The 17,097-nt window shown below is 38.8% G+C and overlaps 1 protein-coding gene across 2 annotated transcripts in view, besides 1 other annotated feature; it reads left to right on the top strand.

The window, feature by feature from the left end:
* ARMH4 (armadillo like helical domain containing 4) overlaps positions 1 to 17,097 on the top strand; it is a 151,453-nt gene that overhangs the window by 25,712 nt on the left and 108,644 nt on the right. The window contains exon 5 of one of the 2 annotated variants that reach the window (NM_001320173.3): positions 9,995 to 10,416. The exons of the other annotated variant lie outside the window; for it this stretch is intronic. Coding sequence (NP_001307102.1) covers positions 9,995 to 10,176 — 182 coding nt within the window. The 3' untranslated portion in view covers positions 10,177 to 10,416. Of the gene's footprint in view, positions 1 to 9,994; positions 10,417 to 17,097 lie in introns of those variants that run through there. 2 annotated transcript variants of the gene reach the window in all.
* Positions 5,468 to 6,035: an enhancer, noted in NCBI's record as "NANOG hESC enhancer chr14:58587185-58587752 (GRCh37/hg19 assembly coordinates)". NCBI's record gives its function as "activates a minimal SCP1, AML or CMV promoter by ChIP-STARR-seq in naive H9 embryonic stem cells {active_cell/tissue: H9 hESC(naive)}" and the evidence as "EXISTENCE:reporter gene assay evidence [ECO:0000049][PMID:30033119]".

Below are 17,097 nucleotides of genomic sequence, written 5' to 3'. Positions count from 1 at the left end.
TATTTAATATCATGGTTGTTTTTGTCCTCAGAGAACAATTCCAGTATTTATTTGCAGTGTCTCTTAATTTCCTCTGCTGAAGAGATAGTGGTGTTATCTCTCTTTCCTTATCTGGGGTTTCTAGTTCTGTCCCCTTCTGCGGTCTTCTTTACTGATAACGGGAATTTCAGGAGAAAGTCATTTCTGAAAAGTGTGCCTTCATTCAGGTGACTGAATGATATTCTTGGGAGTCTGGTGGCCTCATACTGAAGCCAATGTCTTTGTCTCTTTCTTTTATCATCAATCAGAAAAAAATTGGGAAATACATTGTTTAAGTAGCATTAGGGTGAAGTTTTTAAGATTTTTTTCTTTTGTTTTTGCAGTTGCAAGATTTAATAGAGGGAAGACAGAGCTCCCATACAGAGGGAGGGGACCCAAAGAGGGTAGCTGTTGCCAGCTCGAATGCCTGGGTTTATATCCCGATCATTGTCCCTCCCCCTGTGGTCTCAGGTGATAGATGATTGGCTATTTCTTTGCCTCCTGTTTTAGCCTAATTAGCGTTTTAGTGAGCTCTCTTTACTATCTGACTGGTCGGGTGTGAGCTAAGTTGCAAGCCCCATGTTTAAAGGTGGACGTGGTCACCTTCCCAGCTAGGCTTAGGGATTCTTAATCGGCCTAGGAAACCCAGCTAGTCCTGTCTCTCAGTCCCCGCTCTCAACAGGAAAACCCAAGTGCTGTTGGAGAGGATGGCTGACGACCGTTCTAACTGCTTCCTGCTGAATTGGGGCATAGTAGGGGTTGTGCAGTTGAGATTTCCTCGGGAGGAGTGCCTTTGATGTCATTAACATCAGAGCATTGGCTAGCAGGCCAGTCCAGGGGTCTGTGGCAGATTTTAGTCATGGACTGTATCTGGGGCTCCATTTGAAGAACGATTGGTAGTTTTACAGCTTTGATTCTGGAAGAGACAAACTTAACAAGGAGATTAAAGATACAGGGATTGAAATGTATGGCCTGCAGTGCAGGGGATTATTTCTTTGGCATACTTCACAGGCCCTGACTATCTGCTTGATAGTTTTGAAAAGGCCTGGTCCAGTAAATAATAATTTGGCCATCTGATGGGTGCTATCAATGCCTAACTGAAAGGTTTGGTGAAGGTTTTTAAGTAATTTCTATTGGTTAGCTGCAGGCAAAAGTATTTTTCCTTCTTCGGTGGCTAGCCATCTGGAGAGGAGGAAAGTATGTCCTCATGAGGTTCCCTATTCTATTTTTCCTGCTGAGTAGTGGGGCTTGGTTTCTCGGAGGGGATTACCCCATACTAGGGGTCCTTCTATAAGCATTTCAAATGGAGGGTCCTGCCTTGTGGCTCTTTTGGCTTCAATGTCCACTTGGTGGTTTCCTTCTATTTTCCTTTCCTTTCCTTTCTGATGACCCCGGCAGTGTAAGACTGCCACCTCTTTAGGTTTCTGTACAGCCAATAATAATCTCCTAAAGACTTCCTGATGTTTAATAGGTGTTCCCTTGGAAGTTAGGAATTCCCTTTCTCTCCATATTGCTGCATGGGCATGGAGGACTAGGTAAGCATACTTAGAGTCTGTATATATATTTACCTTTTTTCCTTCTCCTAATTTTAGTGCCCAAGTGAGGGCTATTAGTTCTGCCAACTGAGCACTAGTTCCTGGAGTGAGGGGATTACTTTTAAGTATTCCATTATCACTGACCACTGCATACCTCGCTTTTCAAAGTCCCTTTTCTACAAAGGAACTTCCATCAGTATACAAGCTGAGGTTGGGATCAGTCAAGGGAACCTCTAAAAGGTCCCCTCGAGCAGCGTAGGTTTGAGCAATTACTTGTTGACAGTTATGTTCTATCTTTTCTTTATTGTCTGGAAGAAATGTTGCTGGATTAAGAGTTGCACAAGTATGCAGTCACAGCACTGGCCCTTCAAGTAATAGAGCCTGATATTTAAGTAAACGGTTGTCTGACAGCCACAAGTCTCCTTTAGCAGTCAGTATGCCATTCACATCATAAGATGTCCACACAATAAAATCTCTTCCCTGTATTATTTTAACTGCTTCAGATACTAAGACTGCTACTGCCGCTACTACCCGTAAACAATGAGGCCAACCCTTTGCCACTACATCAATTTCCTTACTCAGGTATGCCATGGGTTGCAAGCTTGTCCCTTGGATCTGTGTAAGGACTCCTAGAGCTATTCCTGTTTTTTCTATGACATATAAAGAAAAGTCTTGCTCTGTTGGCAAGCTTAACACTGGGGCTTGGGTTAGGGCCTTCTTTAGGGCCTGGAAAGCTGCTTCTGCTTCAGGTGTCCATCTTACTAAATGGGTATTGGCTTTCTGAGTTTCCTTAATTAGTGTATATAATGGTCTGGCTATTTTGCTGTACCTGGGAATATCCATATTTGGCAGAAACCTGTTATGCCAAGGAACCCTCTTAGTTGCTTTAGGGTTTTGGGATGAGGGTAAGCCAGTATAGGCTGGATACGTTCCTCACCAAGGGCCTTGGTACCTTTGGATAATTTTAGCCCTAAGTATTTAACCTGCTGTGAGCAGTGCTGAGCGTTTGGTTTGGAAACCTTGTAGCCACAGGTAGCAAGGAAATTTAAGAGCGCTTGGGTGGCTTGATGGCACAAGGTTTCTGAACTGGCAGCTAAAAGTAAATCATCCATGTACCGAAGGACAAGAGTGTCCAGGTATGAGAATTGGCTCAAGTCTTGGGCTAATGCCTGGCCAAATAGATGGGGGCTATCCCTGAACCCTTGGGGTAAAACAGTCCAGGTGAGTTGAGACGTTGGGTTTGAAGGATCTTCAAAGGCAAACAAGAATTGAGAGTCAGGATGTACAGGGATGCTGAAAAAGGCATCCTTAAGGTCCAGGACTGTAAACCACACTGCTTCCTCTGGTATTTGGGAAAGCAGAGTATGAGGGTTAGGTACAGCTGGGTCTAGAGGGACAACGGCCTCATTGATAATCCTGAGTTCTTGCACTAACCTCCACTGTCTGCTGGGTTTCTGTACTCCTAAAATTGGAGTATTGCAGGGGCTATTGCATGATTTCACTAGGCCTTGGGCTTTTAGGTCCTTAACAATCTTTTGGAGTCCTTGTTGAGCCTTGGGTCTAAGGGGGTACTGCCTTTGGTAGGGAAAGGAGGCAGAATCCTTTAGTTTAACTTGAACAGGACGAGCATTCTTTGCTCATCCATATTGTCCTTCTGTTGGCAAGACTTCAGGATTAATTCCTTCCTCAAGCAGGGGATAACAAATGGGTGTTCCTTCTCCTATGTTCAGGTGTATAATGGCCCCTGCTTTTGCTAGAATGTCTCTCCCTAACCAAGGGAGTGGGGCTTTCAGGCATAATTAGAAAAGCGTGTGAAAAGAGTAAAGCTCCTCAGTCAAAACTTAGTGGCTGGGAGAAGTATCTAGTGACTGGCTGTCCTAGGACCCCTCGGATAGTGACAGATCTGGAGGACAGTTGTCCGGGACAGGAGAGTAAGACCGAGAAGGCTGTGCCAGTGTCCAGGAGACAGTTAACCTCCTGGCCCTCAATGGTGAAGCATACCTGGGGCTCTGTGAGGGTGATGGCATGGGCTGGCACTTGCCCCAGGCACCCTCAGTCCTGCTGCTGGATCATCTGGTTAGTGGTTTCTGACTCAGAGGACCTTCATCCCCTGGGGCAGTGGGCCTTCCAGTGATTCCCTCAACATAAGGGGCATGGACAAGGGGGCGGCTTACTTCTATTTGGACAATCTTTTTTAAAGTGTCCTGGTAGACCGCACTGGAAGCAAGCCCTATTAGGCATTCGATTTGCCCAGCTTTTCCCTTTTCCAGAGCCTCCAAAGTCCACTTGCCTGAGGGCCATGACTAAAGCGGTGGCCTTTTTTTTTATACCGTTTGTCCTGTTCCACCGCTCCTCCTGATCTCTATTATAGAAAACCAAGGTTGCTAAGTTCAATAGGGTTTCTAAGTTTTGCTCCGGGCCTAAGGTGGACTTTTGAAGTTTTTTTCTAATGTCTGTAGCTGACTGGGTGATAAACTTATCCTTTAAGATTAGTTGGCCTTCAGTAGAGTCAGGTGACAGGGAGGTATGCTTTCTCAATGCCTCCCTTAGTCTCTCTAGAAAGGCAGTAGGATTTTCTTCCTTTCCCTGTGTTATAGTGGACATCACTGAATAATTCATAGGCTTCTTCCTAGTTTTCCTTAGTCCTTCTAGCACGCAAGTTAGCAAAATCCCATCAGAAGGCCATATTTATAAAACCAAGTTTGAGTGATTTTTCCTTTGGTTGCTGCTGTGTGGTATATGATGTTAAAGATCAAGAAGAGTGTGATAGGCTTGAACTGTCTCCTGCTATTTGTGATTCTGTAGTGTGAGATTATGAATGTTCACTCTGTGTTAAGAATGGGCACGAGTATTGGCTTTTGTTCTTGGAAATGCTTTGGATTCTGATTTCACTTTGCCTCAATGACAGAGCCACTTAACTGATACACAGTGGAGATGACATGGAAAAGAGTATTCCATGGAATATGCCCTTCATTTGATTTGAACTCAATGCTGGGTCTTTCTCCCCCAGTTGCCTGTTCTGTTGAATGGGAATTAAATAAAAAATAATTTTATAACTATTAACACGAACACATGAAACATCTAATACTTTTTGCCAAATGTGTTAGGGAAGGATGAGGTTCCCTTTTCTTGTTTTCATTTTTGTGTCACTTTAAGTGTCTTATATGACAGATTATGAAACACAGAATTGCTGGTGATTTCAGTTATCAGTTGCCTCTTATGGTAAGTCATTTTGTTGTCTTTTCCTGAAATCATCGTGCTTTCTTTGGCATTTATGACAGAGCTCTATTCCTAAGTACCTGCATACTCTGTGGGTTAGTACATCCATTACGTAGCACTCAGAATGTTCATCACGTTTGCTAATAATGCTCACATAGCCTGTGGTATTTCAAAAATATTTAAAATCAATATTGTGAGGTATTGCCATAAAGCTGTGTTCACAAATTCTGCTGTTGAAGAAAGATAACTGACATTTACTCTCGTTTTTCTGGTATGCTTTCCTGCCACAGGGAATTCATTTATTGGTATAATTGCAATTAAGTAAACCTTGTAGAGTTGGTTCCCCTCATCTATTTTTTGTGTGTGTGTGTGCCTTTTTTTTGCCAGTCCGGCACTGCTTGGTAAGCTTATCTTAGACACTCATAAAATTATACAGAATGGCTCATGATGATGAAAGGATTTAGCTTTGTACATATTCAGTGGTTTTATTTATTCTTTCAGTTATGTGTGCATTTAACAAGTATTTATTTGGCTATTCAGATGATACCAAGAATAATTGGGGGTGGATCTTGCTCTTAAGGGAGCACGAGTGCTAGTAGAAGAGGTAAGATAGATATCTACAAAACAGAAATGCAACATATAAGTGAGGACTAAACTCTGATGTTTTAATCTTGACCAAATTCCTATCTAAGGGGTCTGGAGAGCCATGCCCTACAAATCATGAATTTTCATCAGATGGGTTTTATTTAACCCTGTATATCGTGACTTACTTTCCAACTTGACTCTGGCATAACATTATGAGACAAGGAAGAAAATATAAATATTTTACCCCAAAACATGTTTCTTTGCCATATGTTGAAATGGCCCTGCAAAGCGTCCTTTGTGGGGGAAAATGTGCTTCTGTAAAGAATCTCCATTAACGAAGCTAGATCTTTTTCTTCCTGACCCTCCCAATCCTAAAGAGATTAACTAAAATCTGAATAGGAAACATTTGTCACCTATTGTTTCTAAGGGCAGCCACTATAAGACTTCAAAAGAACTTTTGTCTCCACAATCTTTATCTTAACCTGAACATTCCCTTTCTGTCAATCCCAGGTCTTCCTGACCACCTTGGGCACATGTTCTCACAACCTCCTGCGGGCTGTGTCATGGGCCATGGTTACTCATATTTGGCTCAGAATATATCTCTTCAAATATTTTACAGAGTTTGACTCTGTTCATCGACAGAAGGCAGAAAGGATCACAAAAAAAGGACTCTAAGTAAGAGTCAGGAGAGAAAAAGGACTCTAAGAGTCAGGAGAGACTTTAGTTCCATCCTAGAAAAACACTGGATTGGTGTATACCCCTGTGTGTCTTTGTGTGTGTGTGTGTGTGTGGCATGGGGGAGTGTTTGTGTTATAGATTTGTGTATATATTTATAGTAATGTGCTGTATAATGAAGTTTTGGTCAACAACACACCTCATATATGATAGTGGTCCCATATGATTATAATATTGTACTTTTACTGTACCTTTTCTATGTTTAGATACACAAATACTTACCATTGTGTTACAGTTGCCTACAGTATTCAGTACAGTAACATGCTGTACATGTTTGGAGCCTAGGAGCAATAGGCTATACCTTATAGCCTACATGTGTAGTAGGTCTACACCTTCTATATTTGTGTATGTACACTCTATGATGTTTGCATGATGACGAAATCGCCTAATGACACATTTCTCAGAATGTATCCGATTGTTAAGTGATGTACAACTGTATATTTATAATTTTATTGATAATTGTAGAAAAATGAGTGGGAACAAACCTAACAATATGGAAAAAATTCTAAAGAGTGGTGAATAGATACCATATACACCACACTAGCAATAAATTGTTTTATAGCCGTGCAATCAACCAAGTCATAGCTCACTGGTTAGATGAATTATTTCTTAAGAATAGCTTTTAACAACTGGAGCGGCTGCTTTTCCATGAAGAACAGGCAATCAGGTGCTCAGCCTCAGGCTAATAAATATCTAGTTTACAGTAAACTAGATATTTCTATAGAAAGAGATACATGTCGTTTTTGAGGATGATGTTCAGACTCCTGGCAAAAGGATTTGTTCTGACTGTTTAATCTGGGCACAGACTCCAGGGTTGAGAATCCCTGTGGGCAGTGGTCCAAGCAGGGCTTTCCATGTGTGGTGGCTTTTGTGCAGATGCTGAGGCAAACACGTAGCTTGGAACTATATGTGAGTGGTAGAAATTTCAAAGATATTTTAGATGCTTGCAGAAAATTAAGGCATTTTCAAAGGCATGATTTTTCAATATGAGGATAGACATATGTAAGTATTCTTTGATTGGTGCAAACATGAGAATTTTATTGCATTGGAGGACAAACAATTACAAACCTTAAATATGTATAGAATAATGTGTGGACAGTATCAACTACACTTTATCAAGCTGTATTCATAACCACGAAGTTGTTTTGCCATCGGACTACCTCTTAGCATTTAAATGAATGTGTATCCCTGAGGGAAAAGATTAGAAGAAAAATGTAATACACCAATTTAAATGACCTTACAAGATTTAAAAATTATCACACTTGGAAGCATTACATTGGTCCTGAAAGATTTACATTGATTTTGCCCTCATTTACCAGGGCCTTTTCTTCTCCAGCCATTCTGTCTCCTTCTACATTGCTTATCTCTAGACACAATAGTCTACAGAAATTTCTTCTTCTATTAAAACAGCATAAAGAATCTGCAACGTTTTAGCAGCAGAAGGAGATTCTCCAGGTGGGCAGGAGCCTGGTGCTGCTCCCTCTGGATTTTTTTTAAGGTGTCTGCTTCACATGCTCTCTGAGGAATCCTGTTTCCTATTAAAACTCTGGCTCAGGAAGAGATGTACATCCTTTCACTTGTTTCAGCTGAAATTAGTAGAAATTTTTAAAAGACCTGGCTCAAACCTAAGGGAACACAAAGCAAATAAACTGAGAAGTGAAAGAAACAGAAAATGAATTAGGTTCGTCTGGTACAAATTTCTCTCTGATCTTCACTAATGAGTTTCTAGGGATTATGGGCCCTGACCCATTCCGTGCTCTGTCTGAGTGTTTTATATTCTGTTCCCAAAGCACTGGCACAATATTTCAGGCACTTTGCCAGGCTTTCTGGCACCTCAGTGCTTGGCTTTTTTTTTTCCCCCTATGTAAAGGGTAAACTTCTCATTTTCTACTCCCCACCCCCGCCCCCGCATAGAAGAGCCAAGACCAAGATATGAATTTCTCCTAGGGCTCACCACCAAGTAGTAGTGAGCCCCTACCCCCTGCATACGTACTGTCTGTCCTGTTTACAGGTTGAAGGACACACATTTAATTCCTAGGCAAGTGACAGTCCAACAGTTGTCATGATTAATACCATGTACATGCCACCCTTCAGAGAAAATTCCATCCCAGTTAAAGGTATGATTCATTTCCAGGCAGTATAGCACTGTTCTCACCACACAAGAAATACACCCATATGATAAAAAGATCATTCTGTCACTTTCTATAGCAAATAATACTCAGAGCTCCTCTGCTCCATAAACAGGGAGCTATGAAGTTAAGAGGCCAGGAAAGAAACAGAAAGAATTCAGCTCAAACTTATTCTCCTCTATGAAGCCTCCTGGACCACTCAGCCCACACTGATGAGTAGAATAAGTGAGTGGAAAACGGCTCTCTCCCAGCACTTTGGGAGGCCAAGGCAGGAGGATCGCTTGAGGCCAGGAGTTTGAGACTAGTCTGGGAAACATAGTGAGACTCCACCTGTATAAATTTTTTTTTTTTTTAATTAGCTGGGTGTGGTGGCATGTACCTGTAGTCTCAGCTGTTCAGGAGGCTGAGGCAGGAGGATTGCTTGAGCCCAGGAGTTCGAGGCTGAAGTGAACTGTGATCATACCACTGCACTCCAGCTTGGGTGACAGGGTGAGACCTAGTCTCTTTAAAAAAAAAAGTTATACTCATTTGAAACATATACACGACATAACTTAATGAAAATTGGATTGGAGTTCTAAAGGCATTTAAATATTTATTTTGAAGAGGAAGATAGGGTGTTGTTGAGTTTATTTCCATTCAATAAACATATACTGAGTGCTTATTCTGTGTGAGGCACAATGCTTGATCCTGGGAAGTGGGGCACAAAGATGGATTAAGGTGAAATACCTGCTTTCAAGGAGCTAAATGCATGTAAGTATGATAAAACAAATGCATATTTCCACAAATTATTATGTAAGCCTCATTTTAGATAGGTTGAGACATGCTTTACATTTTGAAGGGGAAATCTACTTTCATACATATTTTTGCATAGTCAATAATCAACCTAACCAACCTATAATTTATCTTTTGAGTATATGTGGATTTTTATATACAAGTTTTGTGTATGTTTGCTTAAAGCAAGTAGTCCTTTAAGGTGTCTAATTAGCTGAAGAAAAAGATATTATTCCAGATGGCTCAGAATTTACAGATATAATATTAATATAGCTTTGTGTTTCTCTTTATAGCATACTTGAGAAATAGGATTGCTGTAGTCTCGTTTTCTAGAGGGAAGTATATGAAGCTGTCATCTGAATCATAAGTGAGTTATTTAATGAGCAGATGTTAAGCCAGGCACAGTGGCTTATGCCTGTAATCCCAGCTACTGGAGAAGTGGAGGCAGGAGGGTCTCTTGAGCCCAGGAGTTCAAGACTGCAGTGAGCTGTGGTTGTGCTGCTGTACTCCAGCCTGGGTGACAGAGCGAAACTCTGTCTCTAAAATAAAGGAGCAAGTATTGAACTCTAGAACTTGTAATTATTGCTACAGGGCTCTACCAGTGTAACTTTGGGGCAGGATTTATAGAAGATAATGGATAACATACCAATTATATGGGCTCATGGCTGAAAAGGAGTTGTTGTGGGCAGTAAATGCGAAGGTACTTATGTAAATCGGTATCTTCAGCTTGTTAACCAGATATAGGCAATGCCATTGTCAAGAGCAGAATCCTCAAATTCAGAGAAAGTAATACTAAATGAAATAAGAAAATTATTTATTTATTTGTTTATTGTTGAGACAAGGTCTCACTCTATTGTTTAGGCTAAAGTACAGTGGCGCAATCATAGCTCACTGCAGCCTTGGCTTCCCAGGCTCAGGCAATCCTCCCACTTCAGCCTCCTGAGTATCTGGGACTAGAGATGTGCAGCACCCCACCCAGCCAACTTTTGTATTTTTTTGTAGAGACGGGGTTTCACCATGTTGCCCAGGCTCGTCTCAAACTCCTGGGCTTAAGAAGTCTGCCTGCCTCGGCCTCCCAAAGTGTTGGAATTACAAGTGTGAACTCCTGCACCCAGCCAAGAAAATATTTAAACAGCTGCCTGAAATGGAAATTGAATCCAAAACATTTTGCCACTGGTGTTTGAAGTGGACTATCTTGTCTCAAGCCTTTTTATTTTCTCATGAATGTACCTTCTAAATATTGTTAAGGCTACAATGGAGGAAATTTTAAATTATTATATTTACTATTTTACAGTGAGTGGAAAATTTGAAATTTAGTAAAAAGTTTTCAAGAAATTTTTATAGATTAATAATGGAGTTTAAAAAGTCATGGCGATGAGGCATTTAACAAGGAGAGAACTGAATAAATTAACAGACATGTTTAAGGTAATGTCTATTTTTTTCTTTCAACTTTTAGGTTTGGGGGTACATGTACAGGTTTGTTACATGGGTAAATTGTGTGTCACTGGGGTTTGGTATATGAATGATCCCATCACTCAGGTAGTGAGCGTAGTACTAGATAGTTTGTTTTTCACTCCTCTTCCTCCTTCCACCCTCCACCCTCAAGTAGGCCCCAGTGTCTGTTGTTCCATTCTTTGAGTTCATATTTACTCAGTGTTTAGCTCCCACTTACAAGTGAGAGCATGTGATGCTTGGTTTTCTGTTCCTGTGTTAATTCACTTAGTTTGATGGCCTCTAGGTACATCCATATTATGGCATAGGAAATGATTTTTTATGGCTGCATAGTATTCCATGGTGTATATGTATCACATTTTCGTTAGTCTACCATTGTTGGGCATCTTCGTTGATTACCTGCCTTTGCTATTTTGAATGGTGCTGGTATGGACATATGAGTGCATGTTTTTTTGGTAGAATTATTTGTTTTTTTTAGGTGTATACCCAGAAATGGGATTGCTGAATCAAATGGTAGTTCTGTTTTAAGTTCTTTGAGAAATCTCCAAACTGCTTTCCACAGGGGCTGAATTAATTTGCATTCCCATCCACAGTGTACAAGCATTCCCTTTTTTCTATAACCTCACCAGCATCTGTTATGTTTTGACTTCTAATAATAACCATTCTGACTGGTGTGAGATGACATCTCATTGTGGTTTTGATTTGCATTTCTCTAATGATTAGTGATGTTGAGCATTTTTTCATAAGTCTTCTTTTGAGAAGTATTTGTTCATGTTCTTTGCCCATTTTTAATGGAGTTGTTTGTTTTTTGCTTGTTGAATTGTTTAAATTTCTCATAGATTCTGGATATTAAACATTTGTTGAGTGGATAGTTTGTGAATATTTTCTCCCATTCTGTTGGTTGTCTGTTTACCCCCTTGATAGTTTCTTTTGCTGTGCAAAAGCTCTTAAGTTTAATTAGGTCCCACTCATTAATTTTTATTTTTGTTGCAAATGCTTTTGGGGACTTAGTCATAAATTCTTTGCCAAGGCCAATGTCCAGAATGGTTTTTTCTAGATTTTCTTCTAGGATTTTTATAGTTTTATGTCTTACATTTAAGTCTTTAATCCATCTTGAGTTAATTTTTGTACATAGTGAAAGTTAGGGGGCCGGTTTCAATCTTCTGCATTTGGCTAGCCAGCTATCCCAGCATCATTTATTGAATAGTGAGTCCTTTCTCCATTGCTTGTTATTGTTGACTTTATTGAAGATCAGATGGTTGTAGGTGTGCAGCTTTATTTCTTGGTTCTCTATTAGAAGGTAATATTTAATAATAACATTTCAGATTTGATCTAATTTTAAAATATACCCAGATTACAGATTCTCTTATGAGTATTTGAAATTGGAGAATTTAAAAATGGAGTTTGAAAAACAAATAAAAACTCTCACTCAGCTCGTTGGACCTATTTACAGTAGATAAAATGGATGATTTTGAGTATGGATGCCCTTGAAAAGTACCTTATTTGGATTTCAGATTCTGACAGAAAACTAATGGGTCTTGACATAGCAAAATGACTAGATCTTGGGTAAAACATATGCCTTAATAAATTGATGGGATTACAAGTAGTCAGAAAAATCTTCAAGGATTGTGCTTTCTGGCTTGGTGTATTCCAAAGATGGGCTGAAACCCAAGGAATTAACTGCAAGGAAGAGGTAACGGTGCTCTAGGACAAGTAGTGATATCATTGTTGTGCTAGGTGTCTACACTTGAGCCAGTAGTAAGATGAGGAACCTGGACTAAAATTTCCACATTAAGCCTGTGTAAGGGGAATAAAATAAAGTAATTCCAGGTTTGTATCACACCCTGACTTCCCACAGAAGGAAATGTAAATTCTCTCTGGAAAAAATCATGTCCAATAGAGTCCCATAGGTTTCCCACAGATTAGAACCAAGCAAATGTGAGGAATAAAATAAATGTGTTGTAATAAAATATCAACAAATTAACAAGGAAATGAACCACCATGACTGACAGTCAGCAGAAAAGACAAAGCCAAGTAAGATTGGCTTACTCTTTACTCAGGACCTTTGTTACTAAAACTATCCAGACATAGATATAAAATAACCATTTATAAAAGCTTTAAAGAAATAAAAAAAAGTCACAAAAATGAGGAGGTAATAAAACACTATCAAAAATGACCCAGCAGATTTTAAAAAATAACCAAATAGAACATTTAGAAATATAAATATAATTTAGAAATATAAATATAATTTTTTGGGAAAAAAGCCTCAATGACAGGTTAAATAATCCAAAAGAGAAAATTAATGAACTGGAAGATCAATTTGAAGACATTATAGAGAGTGTAGCACAAAGAGACAAGTGAGAGAACATGAAAGAAAAGCTAAGCTTTATGGAGGGTAGAGTGAAAACTTCTCACTTATCTAATCAGATATCCAGCAGGAGAAAATAGAGAGAATGGAAGAGATACGGAGATAACAGAGGGATAGGATTCATAGTGGTAATGGCTGAAAATTTTTCCAAAACTGTGATAAAATATGAATCCATGGACATAGGAAACACATGTATCACACAAGATAAATAAACCATCAAAAATGCAAACACAAGCACACCAAAAGATGTACAGGAGTGTTAACAGTAACACTGATTATTTGAAAAAGCAAAAATCTTGAAATAACCTAGATTCTAATCATCACCAGTAGAATAGACAAATAAATTGTGCTATGTTAATACAATGGAAAACTACATGGTGCTAAATATGAATGGATGATTGCCACATGCAGCAATATAGGGGTTGATCTTGCAGTGAAAGAAGCTAGACACTAAGAAATGCACACAATATAATTCCATTTATAGAAATTTCAAAAACCAGCAAACCTAATCCGTGGTGTTAGAAGTCAGAATAGTGCTTACCTTTGGGGTAATGATGGTGGTATGAAGGGGGCTTCTGGTACAATAGAATGTTGCTTTTTTAAAAAAGAATATGGGTTGTGAATATGCTGGTTCATGATGTAATAGTTTATTAAGTTGTACACTTATGGTTTGTCAACTTTTTGTTTGTTCTACATCAATAAAAAAAGTTAAAAATAAAAATGCTCAACAAGATACATTGTAATGAAATGAAAGAACAATGAAGACAAAGAGAGAAATCTGAAGATCCAGATTTAAAGGAAAAAAGCCAGGGGAAAAAGATTACCTACAAAGGAACAAAATTTAGACTGAGAGCAGACTTAGCAGCAATGGTGGAACTGGAAACCAGAAGACAGGAGAATCTCTTTAATGAATTAAGAGAAATTAACGAATAACCTAGAAATATGTGCCTCTACTTTTAAAGAACAAAGGCAAAAATACTGGCAACAGATTTTAGAAAAGGAACTTATGAAGGCATTGCATTTAGAGAAGAAGAAAGATAATTCTAGAAGGAGGGACTGAGATGCAAGAAGAAATAGTGAACAAATAAATTGGTAAATATGTACATAAATCATAAGCACTCTGTATAAAATATAATTTCTAATTTATGGAGTAAGAAGAGAGGACAGAGCTAAAATAGTGGACAATAAAATAAATTGGGAAGATATAGCCAGGGTTAAAGGACTCTAAAGCCCTTCTTATTGAGTGATAAGATAGTGATTAAGTTCAGTCTTTGGTTAGTTAAATATGCGTGGTAAAATTTAAGAGTAACAGCTGAAAAAATGCAGTAGGCAGTAGAATGTATAATTTCTAAACCAGTAGTGGGGGAAAATAGAATAAGAAAAAAAGCCAAAAAAAAAAAAAAGAAAAATTAAGCACAGAAAAAGTGGAAAAAATAAAGTAACAAACACAAATATATCAATAATGACAATAAATACAAGTGGGCTAATTATGATGTTAGCCAGAGGTTTCTTGTTGACACCCTTTATCAGTGTTATGGACTGAATTGTGTCCGTAGAAAATTTATTTGTTGAAGACTTAATCACTAATGTGATTGTATTTGGAGACAGGGTCTGTAAGGGGATAGTTAAGTTATATGAGGTCATAAGAGTGGGGCCAAATCCAATAGGACTGGTGTCCTTATAAAAAGAGAAAGAGGGCTGGGAGGGGTAGCTCATGCCTTTAATCCCAGAACTTTAGGGGGGCGAAGGCAGAAGGATTGCTTGAGACCAGGAGTTTGAGACCAGCCTGGTCACCGAAGAGACCCTAATCCCTACAAAAAATGAAATAAATTAGCTGGAGATAGTGGCATGCACCTGTAGTCCTAGCTACTCGGGAGGCTGAGGTAGGAGGATTGCTTGAGCCCAGGAGTTCAAGACTGCAGTGAACTGATTGTGTGATTGTGTGACTGCACTTCAGTCTGGGTGACAGACTGAGACCATCTCTAATGAAATAAAAAAAAAAAAGAAGAAGGAAGAAGAACAAGAGACACTAGAGTCTCTGCAAGAGAGGAAATGTCATGTAAGGACACAGCAAGAAGGTGGCCATCTGTAAACCAGGAAGAGAGGCCTTACCAGAAACCCACCTGGCTGGTGCCTTGATCTTGGACTTCTAACCTCCAAAACTGTGAGAAAATAAATTTCTGTTGTTTAAGCCACCTAGTTTCTGGAATTTTGTTATGACAGCCCAAACTTACTAACACAATCAAGTTGTCCCTTCTTAGTTTGCTGAAAGCTTAGATTTTGTTTTTTTCTTTTTGGACATTGTGTGCATATTGGATTTTTATCAAATGCTTTTTCTGCATTGGTATTTCTGTACCTTTTAAGATGATGATATGGTTTTCTTTTTTAAGGAGTTACTATATTGAATTATACTCATTGGTTTTTGAATACTAAAACAGCTTTATATTATTATATATTATCCTTCTTATGTATTGTATTCAATTTGTTAAAATCTTCAAACAAAATAAAATTTGAGACAAAAGCATTCCTTGACATATATAAAATATTGTCTCCAACTGTTAGCAAATATGTTATCTTCAATCACACATGAAATATTTATAAAAATTGGCCATAAACCAGTCCATTAAAAAAATCCTGGCTGGGCGTGGTGGCTCACGCCTGTAATCCCAGCACTTTGGGAAGCTGAGGCAGGTGGATCATCTGAGGTCAGGAGCTCAAGAGCAGCCTGGCCAATATGGTAAAACCCCGTCTCTCCTAAAAATTAGCTGGGCATGGTGGTGTGCACCTGTAATAAAAAAAATTAGCTGGGCGTGGTGTGTGTGCACCTGTAATTCCAACTACTTGGGAGGCTGAGGCAGGAGAATCACTTGAACCCGGGAGGTGGAGGTTGCAGTGAGCCGAGATGGCACCATTGCACTCCAGCCTGGGTGACAAAGTGGACTCCATCTCAAAAATTAAAAAAAAAAATCTCAACAAATTTTAAAGAATTGATATCATGCAGGCTGTATTCTCTGATGGTTGTGCAATTAGGTTAGACATTAATAATGAAAAAGATAAATTGCCCCATACTTTTGAAAATGAAAAAAACTACTTCTAAATAACTTGTGGATCAAAGAAGAAATTATAATCGAAAATCAAAATATTTGGAAGTGACTCAGAGAAAATATATCAGACTTGTGGGGTGAAGATGAAGGATTATATAATGGGAAATTTTTAACCTTTAGAAAGCTCCCTCAGTGAGTTTGTTCACTTTAAAAAATAAAAAAGTTTCTGTTATTGTATAACATGGTGACTATAGTTAATAACAACATGCTGTATTCTTGATAAATACTGAGAGTGGATGTTAAACGTTCTCAGCACAGAAAATAACTTTGTGAGGTAATGCATATGTTAGTTAGATTTAGTCACTCCACAATACATATATACTTCAAAACATCATGTTGGACATGATAAATATATACAATTATCAGCTTAAAAAATAAAACCCAAAAGCTTAGAAAAGCGGAAAGGATGAAAATTAATGAGCTAAGTAACTTCCACCTTAAGCTATTGATACGGTTTGGCTCTGTATCCCCACCCAAATCTCATCTTGAATTGTAATCCCCCATGTGTCGAGGTGGGGACTTAGTGGGAAGTGATTGGATCATGAAGGTGGTTTTCCTGTGCTGTTCTTGTGGTAGTGAGTTCTCATGAGATCTGATGGTTCTATAAGTGTTGGACAGTTCCTTCTTCACACTCACTCATGGTCTTTCTGACTCCTGCCACCTTGTGAAGAACGTGCCTGCTTCCCCTTCCACCACCACTGTAAGTTTCCTGAGGCCTCTCCAGCCATGCAGTACTGTGAGTCAATTAAATCTCCTTTGTTTATGCATTACCCAGTCTCAGGCAGTATCTTTATAGCAGTGTGAGAATGGACTAATACAGCTATAAAAACAAAATAGAAGAAACCCAAAGAAAATAGAATGAAGTAATAACAGTAAGATTTCATTATTTTATTTTTACATTGCATTAATTCAGAACAGCTTAGTAAACTTTTGATAAAATTTATATGGAAGAGCAATAGGCCAAGAAATAGCCAGTGTACTCCTAAAGAAGAAAAAGAAATTGAAGGAAGGTGTCTGTAAATACCCTAACAGATATTAAGACTTATAAAGCTCTTACTATATAATTATATATTTGGACAAGGAGGACATGGACAGGAATAGTCAAAGTGGCCAGTGAAGCAGAATAGGCATGGAAACACACTGCTATAGAGGGTCCTTGACATGTGACGAAAATTGCACTG

Source organism: Homo sapiens, chromosome 14 (assembly GCF_000001405.40).
Source record: "Homo sapiens chromosome 14, GRCh38.p14 Primary Assembly".
Classification (NCBI taxonomy): domain Eukaryota; kingdom Metazoa; phylum Chordata; class Mammalia; order Primates; family Hominidae; genus Homo; species Homo sapiens.
Note: the sequence above shows the minus strand (reverse complement) of the source record. Positions and strands in the feature narration are given on the sequence as shown.